This window comes from Homo sapiens, chromosome 10 (genome assembly GCF_000001405.40).
Source record: "Homo sapiens chromosome 10, GRCh38.p14 Primary Assembly".
NCBI lineage: Eukaryota > Metazoa > Chordata > Mammalia > Primates > Hominidae > Homo > Homo sapiens.
In genome coordinates, this window is record NC_000010.11 from 34,160,504 (window position 1) to 34,178,116 (window position 17,613).

A 17,613-nucleotide genomic window follows, 5' to 3' on the forward strand; every position below is an offset into this window, starting at 1 on the left:
AATAATGGGCAATTGAAACATTCTGAAATTAGATCTAACACAGTGAATAATTGCTGTGCAAGTCACACTACATTTTACAGACTGTGTTCTTGCATTAAACAAGATGCAGAGATTGCCTTTAAAAGGTATAATTTTCTATAATCTTTTTTTTGTTGTTGGTGGTGCTCAAAGCAATTGCTTTCCAATGGAAAAATAAAGCAAGAGAACAATGGTGCACATCCCCAGACTTCTTACCAACATGTAAACTTTGACCGTTCACAGTATGCAGTTATTGACAGCTGGACTAAAGGACAGTGTCGCCATTAACTTACCGCAACCTCATCTGAAAAGGAGTGAAGTGCCTTTGGAACCTGTTTATAGTACCTAGGTCTGAGGGAGCATGCAGAGGAAGATTTAATTATCCCATATGAGGTTAAGTTTTAGGCCAGTGCCAACTAGGAAGAAGTATTATAGTTAGAAAAGAGACTCAAGGCCAGGTGTGGTGGCTCATGCCTGTAATCCCAGCACTTTGAGGGACTGCTTGAGCCCAGAAGTTTGAGACCAGCCTAGGCAATATAGTGAGACCTCATCTCTACATAAAAAGTTTAAAAAATTAGCTAGACATGGTGGTGCACACCTGTAGTTCCAGCTACTTGGGAGGCTGAGATGGGAGGATCACTTGAGCCCAGGAGGCTGAGACTGCAGTGAGCCAAGACTGTGCCACTGCACTCCAGGCTGGGCAACAGAGTGAGACCCTGTCTTGAAAAAAAAAAAAAAAGAAGAGAATCGAGTGAGAATTAGCATGAAATGGGGAGAAGAGGGGAGTGGGGAGGGAGTGCTCAACTGAAATTCAATGCTAAGAGAGTAAAGAATGGATTAATTCAACTATTTTAACAGTGTACAGTAAACATTACACTGTTACTCAGTGTAATGCCTACATGACCTAGGGCACTTGGATCACAGATCAGCTTCTTAATTCTGCTTTACTTTAGGAAACACCATTCCTGAAGTCAAATCCCCTGCATAACCAAACTGGCCAAGACTGGTGGAAATCCCAAGATGCTGGCCCACTTGACCTCTGAAGAACCTCTAACTTCATTATAATCTAATTTCCATGCTAAATGACACTTCCACCAGCACCATGACGGTTGACAATCACTATGACAATAGCTGGAAAAAAACATAAAAGAACAAAAAGGAAAGTGGCAACTCTGGTTCCAAGAAATTCGCTGTTCATTTCAAGACACGAACATTCCTCCCTTTGCTTTTAGTGCCCAACCCATTCATTAAAGATGCCCTATATCTGTGACTTCCTGGCTCTCACAGGCTGAGAAGCTGATCTGTGATCCAAGTGCCCACTCAATTCCATGGCCATCCGATTAAAGCCTGCACTGCTCGACGCTTTCAGTTTTGTGTACTAGCTTTGAAGCACCAAACAGGGAAAGAGCCCATTTGGGTGGGACCAGCTTTGTCAGTAATATTAGTGTTATGCCTACAGGAAATACAAATATGAATGAAACATAGTCATTGTAGTTGGAAATGCATGACATATATGTACATATGATAGAGGCAGGAGGCAGAGAACTCTCCTAGGCAGATAGGGAAGGGTCCCTGAAGAATCTCCGACCCACCCCCCAAGTATTTATACCACATGTTTTGTGCAGATAAGGCAACCTGCACAGGGAGTTTGCCTGAACACGCCCAGAGCAGACTAAGGGACCATATGCACACTGGGGGGAAGGGGTGGAGCCACCAGGAATTCAAACCTTATACAAACAGGGAACCCAGCGCCATCAGCTTGGATATATAGAAGCCCTCGTATTCAACTGTTAAGGGGGGCAACTGGCAACCTGCTTTCAGGATCCCTCTTTTTGCTGAGAGCTTTCCTTTTTGTTTAATAAATTCTATTCCACTCACTCTTCGATGTCCGCATGCCTAATTTTTCGTGGTCGTGAGACAAGAACCTGGAACTAGCTGAGTGAAGGAGTTTAAAAAATCCTGTGTCACATACACATGTGAGTATGTATATACACATATTCGTGTTATTATATGCATTTTGGCAGTGCCTACTATGCTATGTGTTATGCATAAAGTGATCACTAGAAGAGTATGCTTCCTGCCCTTACAGAACAACTGTGCTAGTAATAAATCAACTAGAATTGTGTTATGTGCTGGGAAAGAGAAGAAGAGAGTGTAACTTGATTGAGCTAAGCTTGCTACATTCACCTGAATTCTGATTTTGTGAACTAAATGGAAATGACTAGTAAGGAAACTCCACAAAAATTTGACCTGATAGGCTAGAAGGGCCCCACAAGGAAGGAAAGTGTACTCTAATGGGCAGTTAAAGGAACCAGCCTGGCCACACACTTCCAACAGGACTGTGAGAATTCAGACCCACTCCCTCAACTCCTGGAGGAGCTGCCCAGATAGATGCCACCACCACACGGGAATCTGAAACCACATAATTTCAGGGCTGGACATGGTTCAAAAATCAGCAAGTAGGGTTCTGAGTGAATGCTCTATACATATAGGTAGATTATTACATTACATAATTACATAAAAAATAAATAATTACCTAATTACACTAGGTAATTATTTTTGACTTTAGAAACAAATGACTTGTCATCACTACATGAAAGACAATGGCGTTTCAGTCCAATACCCTTGGTAGGACTTAGAGTGGCCACCACTCCTGGGAGGGAGTTGCGTATTCACCTAGGAAGTTAAGTCTTGGGGAGGAGGCTTGTGTTCCCGGCCACTCCACAGCCGGTGGGGGGGAGGACACACCCACAAGGCGTGGGAGAAAACAATTAGACTAAGATTAGAGCCATCCAAGCTGGAGGAACCAGATAAGGCTTCTTGGGTGAGGTGGCATATATGCTGGTTCTTAAAAGAGAAGCAGAATTTGAAAAGATGAAGAAAGGGCATGAGATGAAAAGATAGCACAGGCAAAATGTTGTAGTTAAATAGAAAGGAATGTCGGTTTGGCTGGGACACAGAACACTCAACCACGGAAAAAGAGAGAAGAGTGGAGATCACACTAGAAAGAAACAGGGACAAAATCCTTTACAGCGGAACTGGGAACCACTAGCAAACTTTTTCTATAAAGGCCCTAATAATAAATATTTTTGGCCTTGTGGGTCAGTCTGTTGCAACTACTCAACTCTGCCATCATACTGCAAAAGTGGTCACAGGAAATGCATAAACAAATAGCCCTGGGGATCTGGTCTGTGGGCATAGTTTGCAAACCCTTCTGTCAGAGAGATGTGATCTGCTCACGCACCGTTACGGGGGAACTGCTCAGGCAGAAGAATGAGAATCCAGGATGTTTTACAGCAAGGATCTACTGGAAGAAGGAAGGAGTCCAATGAGTAACATTAATACTCTGAAATAATGAATTCTTGTTATTCACATCAAATGGCTACAAGAGCAATAAACACCTGAGGGAATGAGGTAACAAGGAGCAAAGTAACTCAACTGGATTCATATTCCATTTGTTAGTTTAAGCAATTATTATTATTTTCTTAATGTCAAGAGTAAACATGCACAAAATATGGTTAATTAAACCACCACGCTCATAGGTCTTGTGAAAGACAGCGAGTAGTAAATCACTAATACAGACATTGTGCAAAGCGGAAAAATAAACAGCTACTATGGGAATTCAAAACAAAGAGCCACCAACTAAGGAAGAAAAGGAAGAATTGGCCATAAAAAAAACCTGCTTCTGTTTTTGTAACAACTTTGAAAGATGAATAGGAAAGTTTGTTTATTTCCAAGGTGAACTTTAATCAATGAACTGTTAACATCATTAAATACACTGAAGCATGTGCACCATGTACTTCTGCAAAGGGCAACTGTATGCAACTTCTGAATGCAACTGCCCTCATCATTCTTGTAATCTCCAGGAATTAATCAAAAATGGCAAATTTCAGGTCATTTGATATGATAAGAATACATTTATAACAAATATATTTTGTCACATCTGTAAATATTCCAGAAAGGAAAATTCTAAAGCTTTCAACTAAGAGTAGTATTTGTTGAACTATTCTCAGCAGAATATGACAACGTAAGACAACAGAATTGTGATCATAAGCAGGCGTCTGAATGAACCAGAGACCAGTCATTTCTTTTTCTGCTTTGAGAAACATTTAAGCAAATTCCAGTGACAACTTTTGTGGATGTGTTTTATAGTTACAGCAGAAGACGACATGCAGTTTTCCTGTGCAGAAACAATGTAAAACTGAATTGTATGTAAAGTTGTTCTTTTTTCAAAAATCAGAAAGTACTACTTGTAGTTTCCCTCCTAGCTGGACGCACACACATACACACATATACAATTATTTCCATAGTCATTTTGGGGATGAGCGAAAACAAGCAATAGCATTTCTGAAGCGCACTGACTAAATGTATTCATAATAGTAATCAAGTCATTTACTGAAAAGGTTCTCAAGAAATCACCTGGCCATGACCTGTCACTTCAGCCAACTGCATGTAAGATAATTTAACGTTGATTGATACTAGACTCTCCTTTTTTTCTCTTAAAGATTCTTTGTGGCCCCTGTTAGAAGACCACCCTAACATTTCATTATCTTCTAAGATACAGACTAAAAAAAAAAGGTTCCTTTAATTTCAACTAATTTCTCTTTATTTGGGTCTCTGGAGAAACGGGGAAAACTTGTCAGACTCATCCTTATAAAACCCTTTGCACCTCTGAGAATATGAACTAGGTCTCACCCAGTTTTCTCTTTTCTGAGCTGAACTGATCTCAATTTTAACTTACGTGGAGTCTCACATCCATCCCTTCAGTAGTGTCTGCTGAGCTGGCCAGCTTCTTCACTTCCCTTTTGAATGTGGAGGATATTAGAAATTTTACTGTGGCCTGCCATCACTATCTCTAGCATGCCAGAACATTCTTATATTAAAATCAGGACACTTCGAAATTTTAAGAGCCAGAACCATGTGTTTACTGGAATTTTCCTCAATGTCTAGCATTTTGCAAGGTGCCACTGGGAGACAAATGTCCTCGTGCCCCAAGAGGAAAAACCGCTTTGTTCTTGCACAAGGCTAATGCACAGAGCCAGTGCCACCCCTCTCTGCCTTCTCAACACCCAACAATTTGGCCTTAAGCTCCCACTGCATTCTCAAATGATGTTCTAACAGCTTAATAGAGTGAGTGGCCTGTTTTTGGTCTTCACATTTCTTGCAGAACTTGACCCTGCTGGCTCTCCTTTGTTGACTAAAACGTTAATTTTCCATGTTTGTTGAGGAGCAACCCAAATTACTGCTCATCTTTTACATCTCTTTGTTTGTTCCGTTCTCATTCATTGGCTGGTATATCCCATATCAATGGTCATTTTCATGCAGTGAAATCTACCTCATCTAAAAAACACAACCATTATTCTAATCACCTGGTAAGTGTTTCACCTGAATATGTTGACAACATTTTGAAATATACATATACAAGAAAGAGCTATATTTCTCACTAACCTTCCTCTATTTCTATTATCCCTTTATCGGTTAATGCTATCGCTATTCTGTTTTTAAAATCAGTCACTTGTTTCTTTCTTTCCCTAAACCTTCCCTCAGATTCACTGAGTTGGACTTACAGATATGAAGTACTTTATTGCTGATAAAATATGAAGCTTTGAAAAAGTTGTTCTATTGGAAAAAAATTAATTAGAAAACAAAATTAAATTTAGCAATAGAGCTTGGTGTGTTCCAAAGCATGGACTATGCTTTCTTAAGTCTTGATGGATGTTAATTCTTTCTCTGAGTCTCAAGGCAAAGTTCCATTTGACCCTGACATAAGCAAACACCAGAAATCTCACGTGCATTAAAAAAAGCTCAGGCCTGGGCGAGGTGGCTCACACTTGTAATCCCAGCTCTATGGGAAGCCAAGGCAAGAAGACTGCTTGACGCCAGGAGTTCAAGACTAGCCTGGGTAACACAGTGAGATCCTGTCTCTACAAAAAATATATATTTTTTAATTAGCTGGGGGATGGTGGTGAGCCTATAGTCCCAACTACTCAGGAGGCTAAGGCGGGGGCAGGCAGGCGGAATTGCTTGAGTCCAGGAATTTGAGCCTACAGTGAACCATGACCATGCCGCTTCACTCCAGCCTGGGTAACAGAGTAAGATCCTGTCTAAAAAAAAAAAGAGTTCAGAAAGGACTCTACACCCATGTACCCTGGCTGGGACTGCCCGATGCCCCTTCCTTCTTCCAGGATGAGTGTCCACTCACAAAACACCAAGCAAGCACCCCCACAACACACACAATAGCCAACCTATAATTCTCCTTAAATACTTCTTTTTTAAGAACACCAACTAAACGAGAACCTTAAAGATTGTTGTAAGGTGTGTTTTTTCCTCCATTTCTCCTTAAGGAAAGGTGGCTGGCATGATTCAGCATCAACATGCCAAATATTCTATCTGAAACTATACACTCTGTTAGAGTCACTATTTGCAAAACAAAACTATCACACTAGTGAAGGGAGTGATTTGTGAGAACAAATTAAAGACGCATGACCAATTTGTCTGGGCAGTAATGATGTAAACCTGCTGTACCACTAAAGAGTTACGCCTGCTGCAGCGTCGAGCTTGGATTTTCTGCTGTCTAAATCTGCCGCTTACGGGCCTGGGTCTGTGTGTCTGAGGGAATAACCTGTCAAGGAAATCTCCCACTTACCCACAATGACCAACTATATGCTGTTCACTAATAAGTATTCATATAGACCTTACCTCCAAAAAGTTTGACTATAATAAAGTATCCTTAGCTCAAAATTACACAGAACACCTCAGGGTCACTGTGAACATCAACCATCGTTGCACGGGTCTGCCGGCATGTGCATTTTGGTGTGTGATGGGTTACTGTGATAGACTGCATGCTACACCATACACAATTAGTCTGCCAGTAATGCTTTTTCACTTTAATGGTCTACACTAGGAACAGCACTGCGTGGTTTTCGTGAAAAGGTGCTCCATAAATGACAAGACTTTTTCCTTCTCTGAAGAAATATGAAACATTAAAAAAAAAACACCCCAAAGCCCCCAAAACCCTCAAGTCCTGAAGTTACTTCTGTGGTTAGCAGTAGAAAATGGCAAAAGGTAATATTTAGGTATATGTAAGGAAGAACATCTGAAATGAAAAAAATATGAGAACGCATATGGAAAGCAGAACCGAATAAAATAGAAAAACGTTTTGCTTAAGGGTAGTTTTTTCTTTGATATATGCTAAGCTTATTCTATCAACTTCAGCCAGAATAACTTGTTTACGCTTGAACGTGTCTCTGCCCTAGGAATGGAAGGTCATTTTATAAGATGTATTTAATTTCTAATTTGTTTTCTAATTAAATTATTTTGATAGCTTCTCATTTGTGTCCTCTGATACAATAATTAACTCTTGATACTAATTGAAATATCCACTGACCCTATGTCCCCAAATCATGGACTACCATGAACAAAAAAAAGGGTGACCTCTGGCCTTCATGTTCCCAGGGGTGCAAGAGGGTTATGTTGAAACATGAGTTTTTTTTTGAGCAAAGGTCGTGTCATAGTAATGGCTTAATATGGTTTTTTTCTTTTCTTCTTTTTTTCCTTAATGAAAAGGCTGAATATTTGATAGAACTGTAACATTCATTTTATAGCTTTGGTATCTGTTGTTGAAATAGTGTTCTGAGATGTGAAGCTTAAATATTTTATGAAAAATACCTCCTCCAACAGAAATGTTAATAATTTAATATATGATAAACTACACATGAAGTTTCAGAAACAGTTATTTAGTGGTAGTTTTATATTTGATATGAAAGCCTAGTAGATCACTCCCTTGCTGCGTACTTTGATTTAAAATGGCAGTTTTTCTGCAAAATTATCTTAGTATAAAACATGTCACTAATTTTAAAGTGACTTTGATTATTTTATTTTTTGCCTTTAATCCAGAGAACTGAGAGCCTGTTGATGAGTGATGCCAACATGTCTTGCCAAAGCATGATTTTGATGTTAAATATCCAAGGCCACACATTGCTATGTGGTTCCATTTAGCCAATACTTCCTAAGACACTGGTGGGTCTCTCTAGGGCAGGCGTGTGATTTGGTAAGTCATTGGGAGGGCGAGGAGCTGCACTCTGATATGTCCTGACAGGCCCTCCCCGCGAAGGATTCATTGGCTCTGAGGCAGTTACTGAAAAGAGCAGCTATAATCAACAGCTGTGTCCTGATGTTTTGCCAATCTGTGCTCATAAAACATGATGTTTGGTAACATATTTCCAACACAGTTTGCCTTTGTCTTTTCAACACCAAAATTCCCACTTCTGTATTTTCTTTCATCTAAGAATTTCTAAATAGTTTGAGGGCATTAATTATGCCATACAAAATCCTCTCACAGTAATTACTGATGTTCCTGCTTCCTAATTATGTGTAATACCAACAAATCCACTTTCTATACTGGATTGCACCAACGCTACCTAGAAATATCTGCTGCCTTGTTGACAAATAAAGAGCTCTCAAATGTAGAGTACAGAATCTTCTCTGCTCTGCATCTTGCTTTTGCACATTAGATTTTGGTGCTGAGCTTCTCTATGTAAAATGCCTCTTCTGTACACAGTACACACTTTCCCCTTTGAATAGGAATTAAGTTTACTGGCTACATTTCTTGATCAATTTCAGACAAACCGGGGCTAGGTATATCAAAGACAGTTACAGCTGCCAGGAAATTCAATTTCTATGTGCTGTGCATTGCAGGAAATAGAAAGAAGATCTGTACAATCTTTACTCTCAAGATGCTTACAATTGCACAAGAAGATAAAATATAGAGCACAGTGAAAGAATAAGTTCCGTTTTCCATGATGGTGACAAAAGGAAACAGAAAATAGTTTGGGAGAAGACACGCAGGAGAGCAGGAGATGACAAAAGAAGCTGGATATTCTGGTGATAAACTTGGAGTTGAAAGTTCATCTCTTAGTTTTACTGACAAATATAATGAGAAACTTGAAAACCCTAAGGGGATGATACATGAGCCAGGGGATGGACAGAGAAGAAAACTTTGAGGTGGTCAGCTGTTCCTCCTCACTACTAGGGACCAAATGGAGAAAAATGGGCATGTGGGGATTTAGATGAGAGAAAAAGAATACCTTTCTGACAGAAAGACTTATTAAACACACGATGGAACAGGTTAGAGAAGGAAACGATGAAGATGTCATCTGTGAAAGTCTTTAAAACTGGGATACAGTTTCAACAACCTAAAGAATGGAGTGAAAGATGGCACGTATAGACTCATGGAAACCACAGTTAAGGCATTATGGCATTAAGTTCCGACAATTGAATGAAGGTTCCCTGGATACCTCTGCCTGGGGTTCTCTCTCTAAGAATGATGGCCACAGGGGGCCACCAGCTTCTTTTAGACAGCCTCCCCTGCCCTGCAGGATGTATCTGCAGGGTGCCCAGCAAAGAGGAGCCCAGATTGTAACCAGAGAAGCAAGGCTCAGCTTCTGTGTGACATGAGCTGACAACACTAGATTCACTTGCAGAATCCTTAACATATACTCAATCCACAAACTCAAGTTTGACATTATTAGACGTTTATAGCTTTTCAGAGCTAATTTAGGATACTTTTGTTGTTGCTATTTTTTGAGACAGGGTCTCACTCTGTTGTCCAGGTTGGAGTGCAGTGGTGCAATCATAGCCTACTGCAGCCTCCAGCTTCTGGGCTCAAGAGATCCTCCTGCCTCAGCCTCCCAAGTAGCTGGAACTACAGTTGCACACCACCACGCCCAGCTAATTTTAAAATTTCTTGTAGAGACCGGTCTTGCTATGCTGCCCAGGCTGGTCTAGAACTCTGGTGTCAAGCAATCCTCCCACCTCAGCCTCTCAAAGTATTGGTATTACAGGTGTGGCCCACCATGCCTGGCCCTTAGGAAACTTCTTCAGTCATGGATCTATTAATTCAATAACTTCATTGAGTGCCTCCTCTGAGTTAGGTGGTAGACACAGAGATGCACAAGACAGAGACTACCCTGGGGAAGACTGGCATGTAAACAGTTAATTATATACCACTGTGACAAACATCAGGATAGAGGTAAGCATAGAGTGTGTGGGAAGCACAGATTGTAGACACTGACCCTAGACAGAGGGGCCCAGGGAAGGACCACAGACAGACACTGGGTTGATCCTAGAAGGAAAGAGGCAGCTGATGCAGGGGGAGAAAAGCCATCTTTCTAGATAAAGGGCATGGCATGATTAAAGACATTCCATGTCACAACAAAAGAGGATTATGAGAAAGCCTACAGCAAGAGGGAAACTGGCAAAAACACCATCTAGACTAGTTCTATTTGCCTTCTACTGCCAAGGTTGCTTTTTAAAATATTTAAGTAAGACCTTCAGCCTTGATTAGTGCATCTGTCATATGAATATGTATTTGCTGGCTCCCTGGAATAATGTGCTAGACGCGGAATTCAAATGCTCTTTCATTTACCAATGGCTACTCAGAGCTGTAATCAAGCCAGGTCGTCTTATCTAAACAAACTCACTAAATTTAGGGATAGATGTCTAAATAGAAAACATGATTAATTTGATCATTGTTTTCCTCCACCATAAACACTCACTCTTTATTCATGACATATAGTCTCACATGTATACACACACGTTTATACACACTATCCATCCATCAAAAAAGATGGTATCCATACAATCATTGAATGTATAATTTGACAAGCTAAAACTCAAGCTTTACTGAAAGGCAAAAAGAAGGTTAACGGATCTTTTACATTCCCTGGTTATGCATCAGCTCAAACTGAAACGCTCAAAAAAGATAATCGAGGTTGCCTTTTTCAGTTCATCACACATAGAGAGAGGCTTTTGCAGCATCATGTTCAGCAATTTTTCCTCTCACCTTTTGTCAACATTGCTAAGACGCTGGCTAATACTAAATATGGACGAGATCTCTGCTGGAGCCCAAAACCAAAAATTCCACAAAGTGATATTAATTTAACTTGTAGAAGTAAGAGAAAGAAATATTAATGTATGTTTAGTAAAAACATGGATTTTGACAATGTTGCAGGATCTGTGCGTCCACTGTTTCAACGCATGAGACTACATGGTCCTCCTACCCCTCCTGTCCTCCCTCAGATGTCAGAAAAGAAGTTATTCACAAATACAATCTGCACAGTCCTGTATCAAGATTCAGAGTCCTCAGGCCAGGTGCGGTGGCTCACACCTGTAATCCCAGCACTTTGGGAGGCCGAGGCAGGGTGGATCACCTGAGGTCAGGAGTTCAAGACCAGCCTAGCCAATATGGTGAAATCCCGTTTCTACTAAAAATATAAAAATAAGCCAGGTGTGGTGGTGTGTGCCTATAATCCCAGCTACTCAGAAGGCTGAGGCAGGAGAATCACTTGAACCCAGGAGGTGGAGGTTTCAGTGAGTCAAGACTGAGCCACGGCATTCCAGCCTGGGTGACAGAGATGAGACTCCATCTCAAAAAAAAAAAAAAAAAAAAAAAAAAAAAAAAAATTCAGAGTCCTCAACCCAACCCCCAACTTCTCTGGGTCTTTTCAGTGACTTCTTCCCATTTCTCTTTTTCCCAATCTCTCTACCCTTGTGAAAGATTTACTAAAAAGAGATTTTTTTGGACAGGCAATTGCTGTTGCAACACAACATTCTCAAGGGTTAAGTGTAAACGAATCAGAAACATGTGGCTTAAATTTTCCACAAAATTGAATTCATATGGGCTTAGATATAAAAGGGAAAATAGTGTTTTCCAAAACATGACTTGAGTTTTGAAAAACTCCAAGTGCTGGGAAAATAGTTTAGGTATTCACTAAACTTTTAACTACGGTCAGAATCACTCATCCATAGTACTATAAAACTTCATTCTACTAAATAATGTGTCATGCTCAGAGAAAATTACATCTGTAGAGATTAAACACCCACCTTCACAATTTTATAAAAAGCTCCAACATAACAGAATGAGAATGGAACACTAAAGGCTTAATGCAAATATCTGAGACGAGTGATTTCTTCCATGTAATGTGCACGTGTGTTATTTAGGGACCTTTTAAAAATGCAAATTTTGATTCAGCAGGTCTGGGGTGGGGTGTGAGAGTCTGTGATGCTGAGACTGCTGTGCATGGACCACCTTTTGAGTAGCAAGGACTCAGATCCCCCATGCTGTATGTCACAACTCACTGCACAAGTCAGTTTATGCTCTGTTACAAATCTTCTGAGATTCATCATTTGGCGACAAAAAACAAACAAAAACAAAAACAAAAAAACAACAAAAAAAAAAACAAAAAAAAAACCCACCCAAGCAAAATGACATAAATGGGAGTTAAAATATCCTGCTAAAAAGGTACAGATAATTGCTGTGAAATTTACATAACAATATTCACTGATTAGAAGTAATGAGTAATGTATTCATTATTACATATGAACAATGAGAAAACAAATAAGAAACAGTAAATATTCATCACTACCTGCTCTGCTACTAGTTTATATCCTACTCCATCGGGAAATCCTTTTATGAAATCTTCCAAATCACTTCAGACATCAGAGATATTGCCTGTTTTGAATTCAAGCACTTCTTTGTTTACCGCATGACTAATTAGTCAGGAATCGTCTAGCCCTATTGCAGGCATTAATTTTGCACATATGGATGCCTTATTTTCACAACTACATCTGAATCTCTGTGCGGGTATCGGCTGTGTCTTCCTCCTTCCGAAAAACCCCGAAGTCTTGCAACATGGCTTCCTGGTTGACTGTGAAATAAACTGTACATCCTGAATAACCAGAGTACTGGCAAACCTCAGCTTGTAATATTTCAAGGCCATGCAATAAGCAAACCCATGTCCACGGTACCAGGATTTGTGGTGTTCAGGTTGTAATAAATGCAGTTCTGTTTGTCAGTGGGGATCAAGGTTTGAGGACAGGAATGAACTTTGGGAGCTGCATACAAAAACATCCAATGATCTGAGAACACATGTAATACTTATCCACAGGCTTGATGTAAATATTGTAACTTTTTTCCTCCACCTGGCCCATTTTTCATATATGCAACTTTACAGGGATCTTGTTAAGATGAAGAATGCTATAATTTTCCTCTTGAGTAAACTGAAGTATAGAAGAAACTAACTTTTACATATACCACACCTGTATATCACAATGGCAAAGCTAGGAAAAGTGTTTATCAAACCCTCCAACATCCCAGCCATCATTCTCACTTTTCTAAGAGGAAGACACTGATTTGACTGCCTCTCTAAGGGCAGGTCATCACCAGCTTCTAGAAAACCAGCTTACACACCTGCTACTGAATAAGCCACCCAGTCACTGCCCTAATTTTCCACATCAGAGCTCCTGGCTTCATTTGCCAAATGCCCAAGGCAAATGAAGAAGTTTAACTGGTGAATGTGGCCCCAGGAATTCTAGCTATCATCTCCCATCTCTGTTTTGAGTTTTGCTACAGCCAAATCCCAAGGCCCTAGGTCCCTATCACCAAGGGAGCTTTACCTAGACACTGCTGCACCCCCAAGGCAAGATCTGATATGATTTCCTCATATCAGCATGTTACATGGTTGGTCATGAAAGCAACATGTGCTGACTGGTGGATGGACCGTTAAACCTCTGTGTCAGGGATGTCACCAAGCATAACGATGCTTCATTAGGAAAATGTACTTCAGCATACACGTGGCCAACTAGAAACACACTTAGGTGCTCTATTCTAGTGGGGCTGCTCAAAACAGACTTTCGGAAAGATACTACCATCATAAATTCATCCGGTGAGAATTAACAACTATATGCATGACTACTGCGTTAGGTTGAGCTTGAGAAGAGTGCAAGTGTTTTTCCCTTACTTTTTACTGAAGACACTTGCAATCTAGATGGGAAGATAAGATGTACACACATAAGCAGGTAAGTAGTTTACAGAGCCAAGGATCCCAATGCAAGAGATATTATGAAACTGTATTCACTACAGAAAAGAAATGCTTGTGTTACACATTGAAGGTCAGGAAAAATGTGTAAGAAAGAGGGGAAGAGCATTCAAGGTCGGGGGCGTGGAGTCCTGAAACCCTGGTGCTTAGTGCACAGTGAGGCCACCTGTCTGGCTGGCATAAAAGGGACAGTATCAGGCAAAAATTTAGGTTGTGGATGAAGTAAGGAAGTCATCAAAGAGCTTGGGTTCTATCCAGAAGATGATAATTTTTCAAACAATATTTCTCAGAATTCTATGAGTCTACAGAGGTGCCTCAATATTCTCAAAGGCTGATATTAAGAATAAATAAATGTGGTGACTTTGACCTTAAAATAAATGTATACTAGTAAACTAACATTGTTTTGATTGTTCTTCTATATTATGGTTGTATATATGATTTTACTGGAAAAAAATAATGACACTGATAATGGGAAACCATCTTTTTAGTTATCACAGGAAAAACAGTATCTGTTATTTTATTTATAATACAATTCGTTTCAAAATTAATTTAAGATTCATTGTATTTTTTTTCTTCTTAAGGCCAATTCATTGTATTTTAAAATTAATACATGCTTATTTTGACACCTGGAGTTCCTCGTATCTAGAATGGGGAAGTTTTTACTAACATCATTATTAATTGTATCAATCTGGCTGCATCCCATTATATGATGAGAACTAATTAAATCGGAGCATGTACCATTATGGGATTTAACTGCACATGGTAAAAAAGAATCATTTGCCTTTATATACACAAAACCCACATTAACTTCATGGAGAGCTAAGCATCGAGCAGGGCTGGCAGATGATGTGCTTTTGTCCTTGAAGACTCTAAAGATAGATATTAATTTCAGTTTTGCAACTCATTCAGAAAATTGCCTGGATAACTTGGGAAAGCCCTGTTTATGCTTTCTGCTAGTGTGTGTGTACATGTGTGTGCTTATGCCTGTGTCAGAACCCAAAGAAACCATGCCAGCCATAAAGGAAATTAAAAATAAACTTAAATATGCTTCCATATGCCAATGCAGGGGCCCCAGAGACTGGATCATAAACTTGCACATTTAAATTGTCTACATGAATTTTTGACTCAAAAAGTATACTAAGCAATTTTATCATCACAGTCACATAAAGTAAAATATATTTTCACCTGGGGAAAAATATTCCTTAGGCAAGCAATGGGATATTTTATTTAGACATTCAAGTATCAGACAATTTATAATAAATGAATGTTCTGGATTTTAAAGAGGCTAATAAAGCAAGTACTTTCCCTTGTATTAGAAGGAAATACAAAGTGAATATTATAGGATATAGGAAAGGGAGTTTAAAACAATCAGTTTTATGGGATGACTGAGAATTTTAAAGTAAAATTATATGAACAATTTAAGTGTTAAATCCCCATATGTCAGTTTATTCAAACCCCCTTATATTGCTAAACAGAACAGGTGTTTACGTTCCTAAGCTACCTGCATCATACTCATAACAATCTCTTCCCTTCTTACTGAATTGAGACAATTTTCAAATGGTGACTTCAGTCACTCAGCATTCTTCACACACTGAGAACAATTCACAAATAGATAAATTAGTAGGTAATTAGTTTAGCAAATATGTTTCTCTAAAACTTTATTTCATATTTTTGAACTAAAAGTGATCATTCTAATTTGACATGATTTTTACCATAAGGTGTCAGTATAAAAAAAGGAGGCTATTATCATGCCACTAAAATTACTAGGTTTTCTATGCGTTTGGGCTCCCTTCTTTGACGTATTAGAGCCAAGAAAATGAAGAGTTAAACAAATTTAATTTTAATTTCAATTTTAAAAATTGTCCTACAATAAAATGGCAGTCACTGACTTCTAAGCCAAGAGGATGCAAAAGGAGAGACTTTAAGTCTAATATGTAACATTATTAAGAAAAATTGGAATGAGTATAAATAAAACGGGGACAGGGCAGAAAAGCACAGGAGATTAAAGTTGTAGACAGATGTGCTTGTTAGCAGAAAATCCACTTGTTTATTGAGAGACAGCCTCAATTAGCTGATGGTGGAAGTAGATAATGTGTTTATTGTTTCCACTTTGAGGAATGGTTTTCTTACGCATTTCCAACGAAAATAATGGCCCCAGTGGTGTTGACTTTGTCTCTGGGGCAGCTCCTGCCACCTGTACCGTTCCCTATAATCTCCACTCCCGGATCTCAGGCTTGCCAATCATTCCTCCAGCACCATTAGAAAGAGGCCTGGACTTCTGGGTTAAGAGACTTAGGTTTTGGAAAGGCTGGTGCAATCAGATCAGAAAATGACTACACTTAAAAACAAACAAAAAATATAGCTTGCAAAGGAGTAAGCAAGGCTGTGCTGTGGAGATCAAAGTCAGCCAATGGTAAAACTCTAAATGACAAAGCCACTGAACTCCCAGGGCTTTCCTTGGTTACAAAATTGTCAATGGAAAGTGATTTGTAATTGTGCACAATCAAGAGTGTTTTTCTCTTTAAAGTCCTTCCTTAGGAGAAGCAGGTTGTGTGTGTGTGTGTGTGTGTGTCAGGGTATGTGTGTGTGTCGGGGTGTGTGTGGTGTGGTGTACATGTGTGTTTGTGTGTCGGTGTGGGGTCTGTGTTTGTGTGTGTTGGTTTGGATGGGATGATTTACCCTCTCATTGAAGGAACCTATACTATTATTTTGCTTTTATTATAAATGTCTTGGTCTTACAATTTAAGGCTAACATATACAGGTACGCTGAAGGCAAGAAAGAGCAAAAGGATATATAATATTTAAAAAATATAAAATATTTCAAATTTCACCATAGCCCAGCAGATGTGGAAGGTAGTAGCAAAAAATAACCCATGTGCTGTGCACCGCTTTGACCCCATGACTTTTCCAGCCCCTCCTCATCTCCCTATGCAGCTCCTGTGCTATTATTTTTTTCCATTGGGAGCAAAACTCTTTCAGAGCTTTCATTTTCATTCATGATCTGATGGAATAAGATAAAAGATTAGACAAATACCCCCCAAATCAGTTTGACAAGTATTCATCAGCCAGATTTCAAAATGTTTAAGAAGGAAACCCTCTACCTTAGACAAAGTAATTAAGAAGAAGAAAAAAAGTCATTCTTCGTTCTCTCCGATTTGGTCTGCTCACTGGGTTGCTAGCTTTCAAGTCTGACCTTTCCTTGATATCCACTTATTGTCCCCAAACCTCAACCCACTGGGCAATTAGAACGCAAGACTCGCCTCCCAGGGCTGCCTCGTTTTAGTAGAATGCATGATCAAGGAGTTCTCTTGAAAGGGCAGGAAGCCCACGCCAGTCAGGAGAACATCACAGGCGCTTTAAAGACTGGTGCCTGCGAACCGCTCATATCCGCCCTTCCAGTTACCAGAGAGACACCAGAAAGTGGGGGTCCTCGCTTTCCTTGGCCCTTTCCCCTTAATCTGCTGCACGTGTGTTTCTTTTCCCTGCTGAGGACTTCTGGCCCTCAGCCGTTCTAATTTCTTCAACTGCTTCTCGCTTTATAAAGTTATTGACACAAATTACTATCACTGGTCCAGAGACATACTATTGCAGGAAAACATAACCTAAAATATACATATCAATGTCTGCATAAGGATTTTCTACTGAACTTAGCTGTAAAAAAATAACATATATACAGGAAAGGTTTATGTTTGACATAAGTAACCTAATTGGAATAACA

At 39.6% G+C, this 17,613-nt stretch overlaps 1 protein-coding gene across 8 annotated transcripts in view, besides 1 other annotated feature; it reads right to left on the reverse strand.

Annotated features, from left to right (window-relative positions):
* Positions 1–17,613, reverse strand: part of PARD3 (par-3 family cell polarity regulator) — a 705,736-nt gene that overhangs the window by 50,943 nt on the left and 637,180 nt on the right. The gene's annotated exons all lie outside the window — the stretch shown is intronic.
* Positions 16,038–16,539: an enhancer, noted in NCBI's record as "H3K4me1 hESC enhancer chr10:34465469-34465970 (GRCh37/hg19 assembly coordinates)". NCBI's record gives its function as "activates a minimal SCP1, AML or CMV promoter by ChIP-STARR-seq in primed H9 embryonic stem cells {active_cell/tissue: H9 hESC(primed)}" and the evidence as "EXISTENCE:reporter gene assay evidence [ECO:0000049][PMID:30033119]".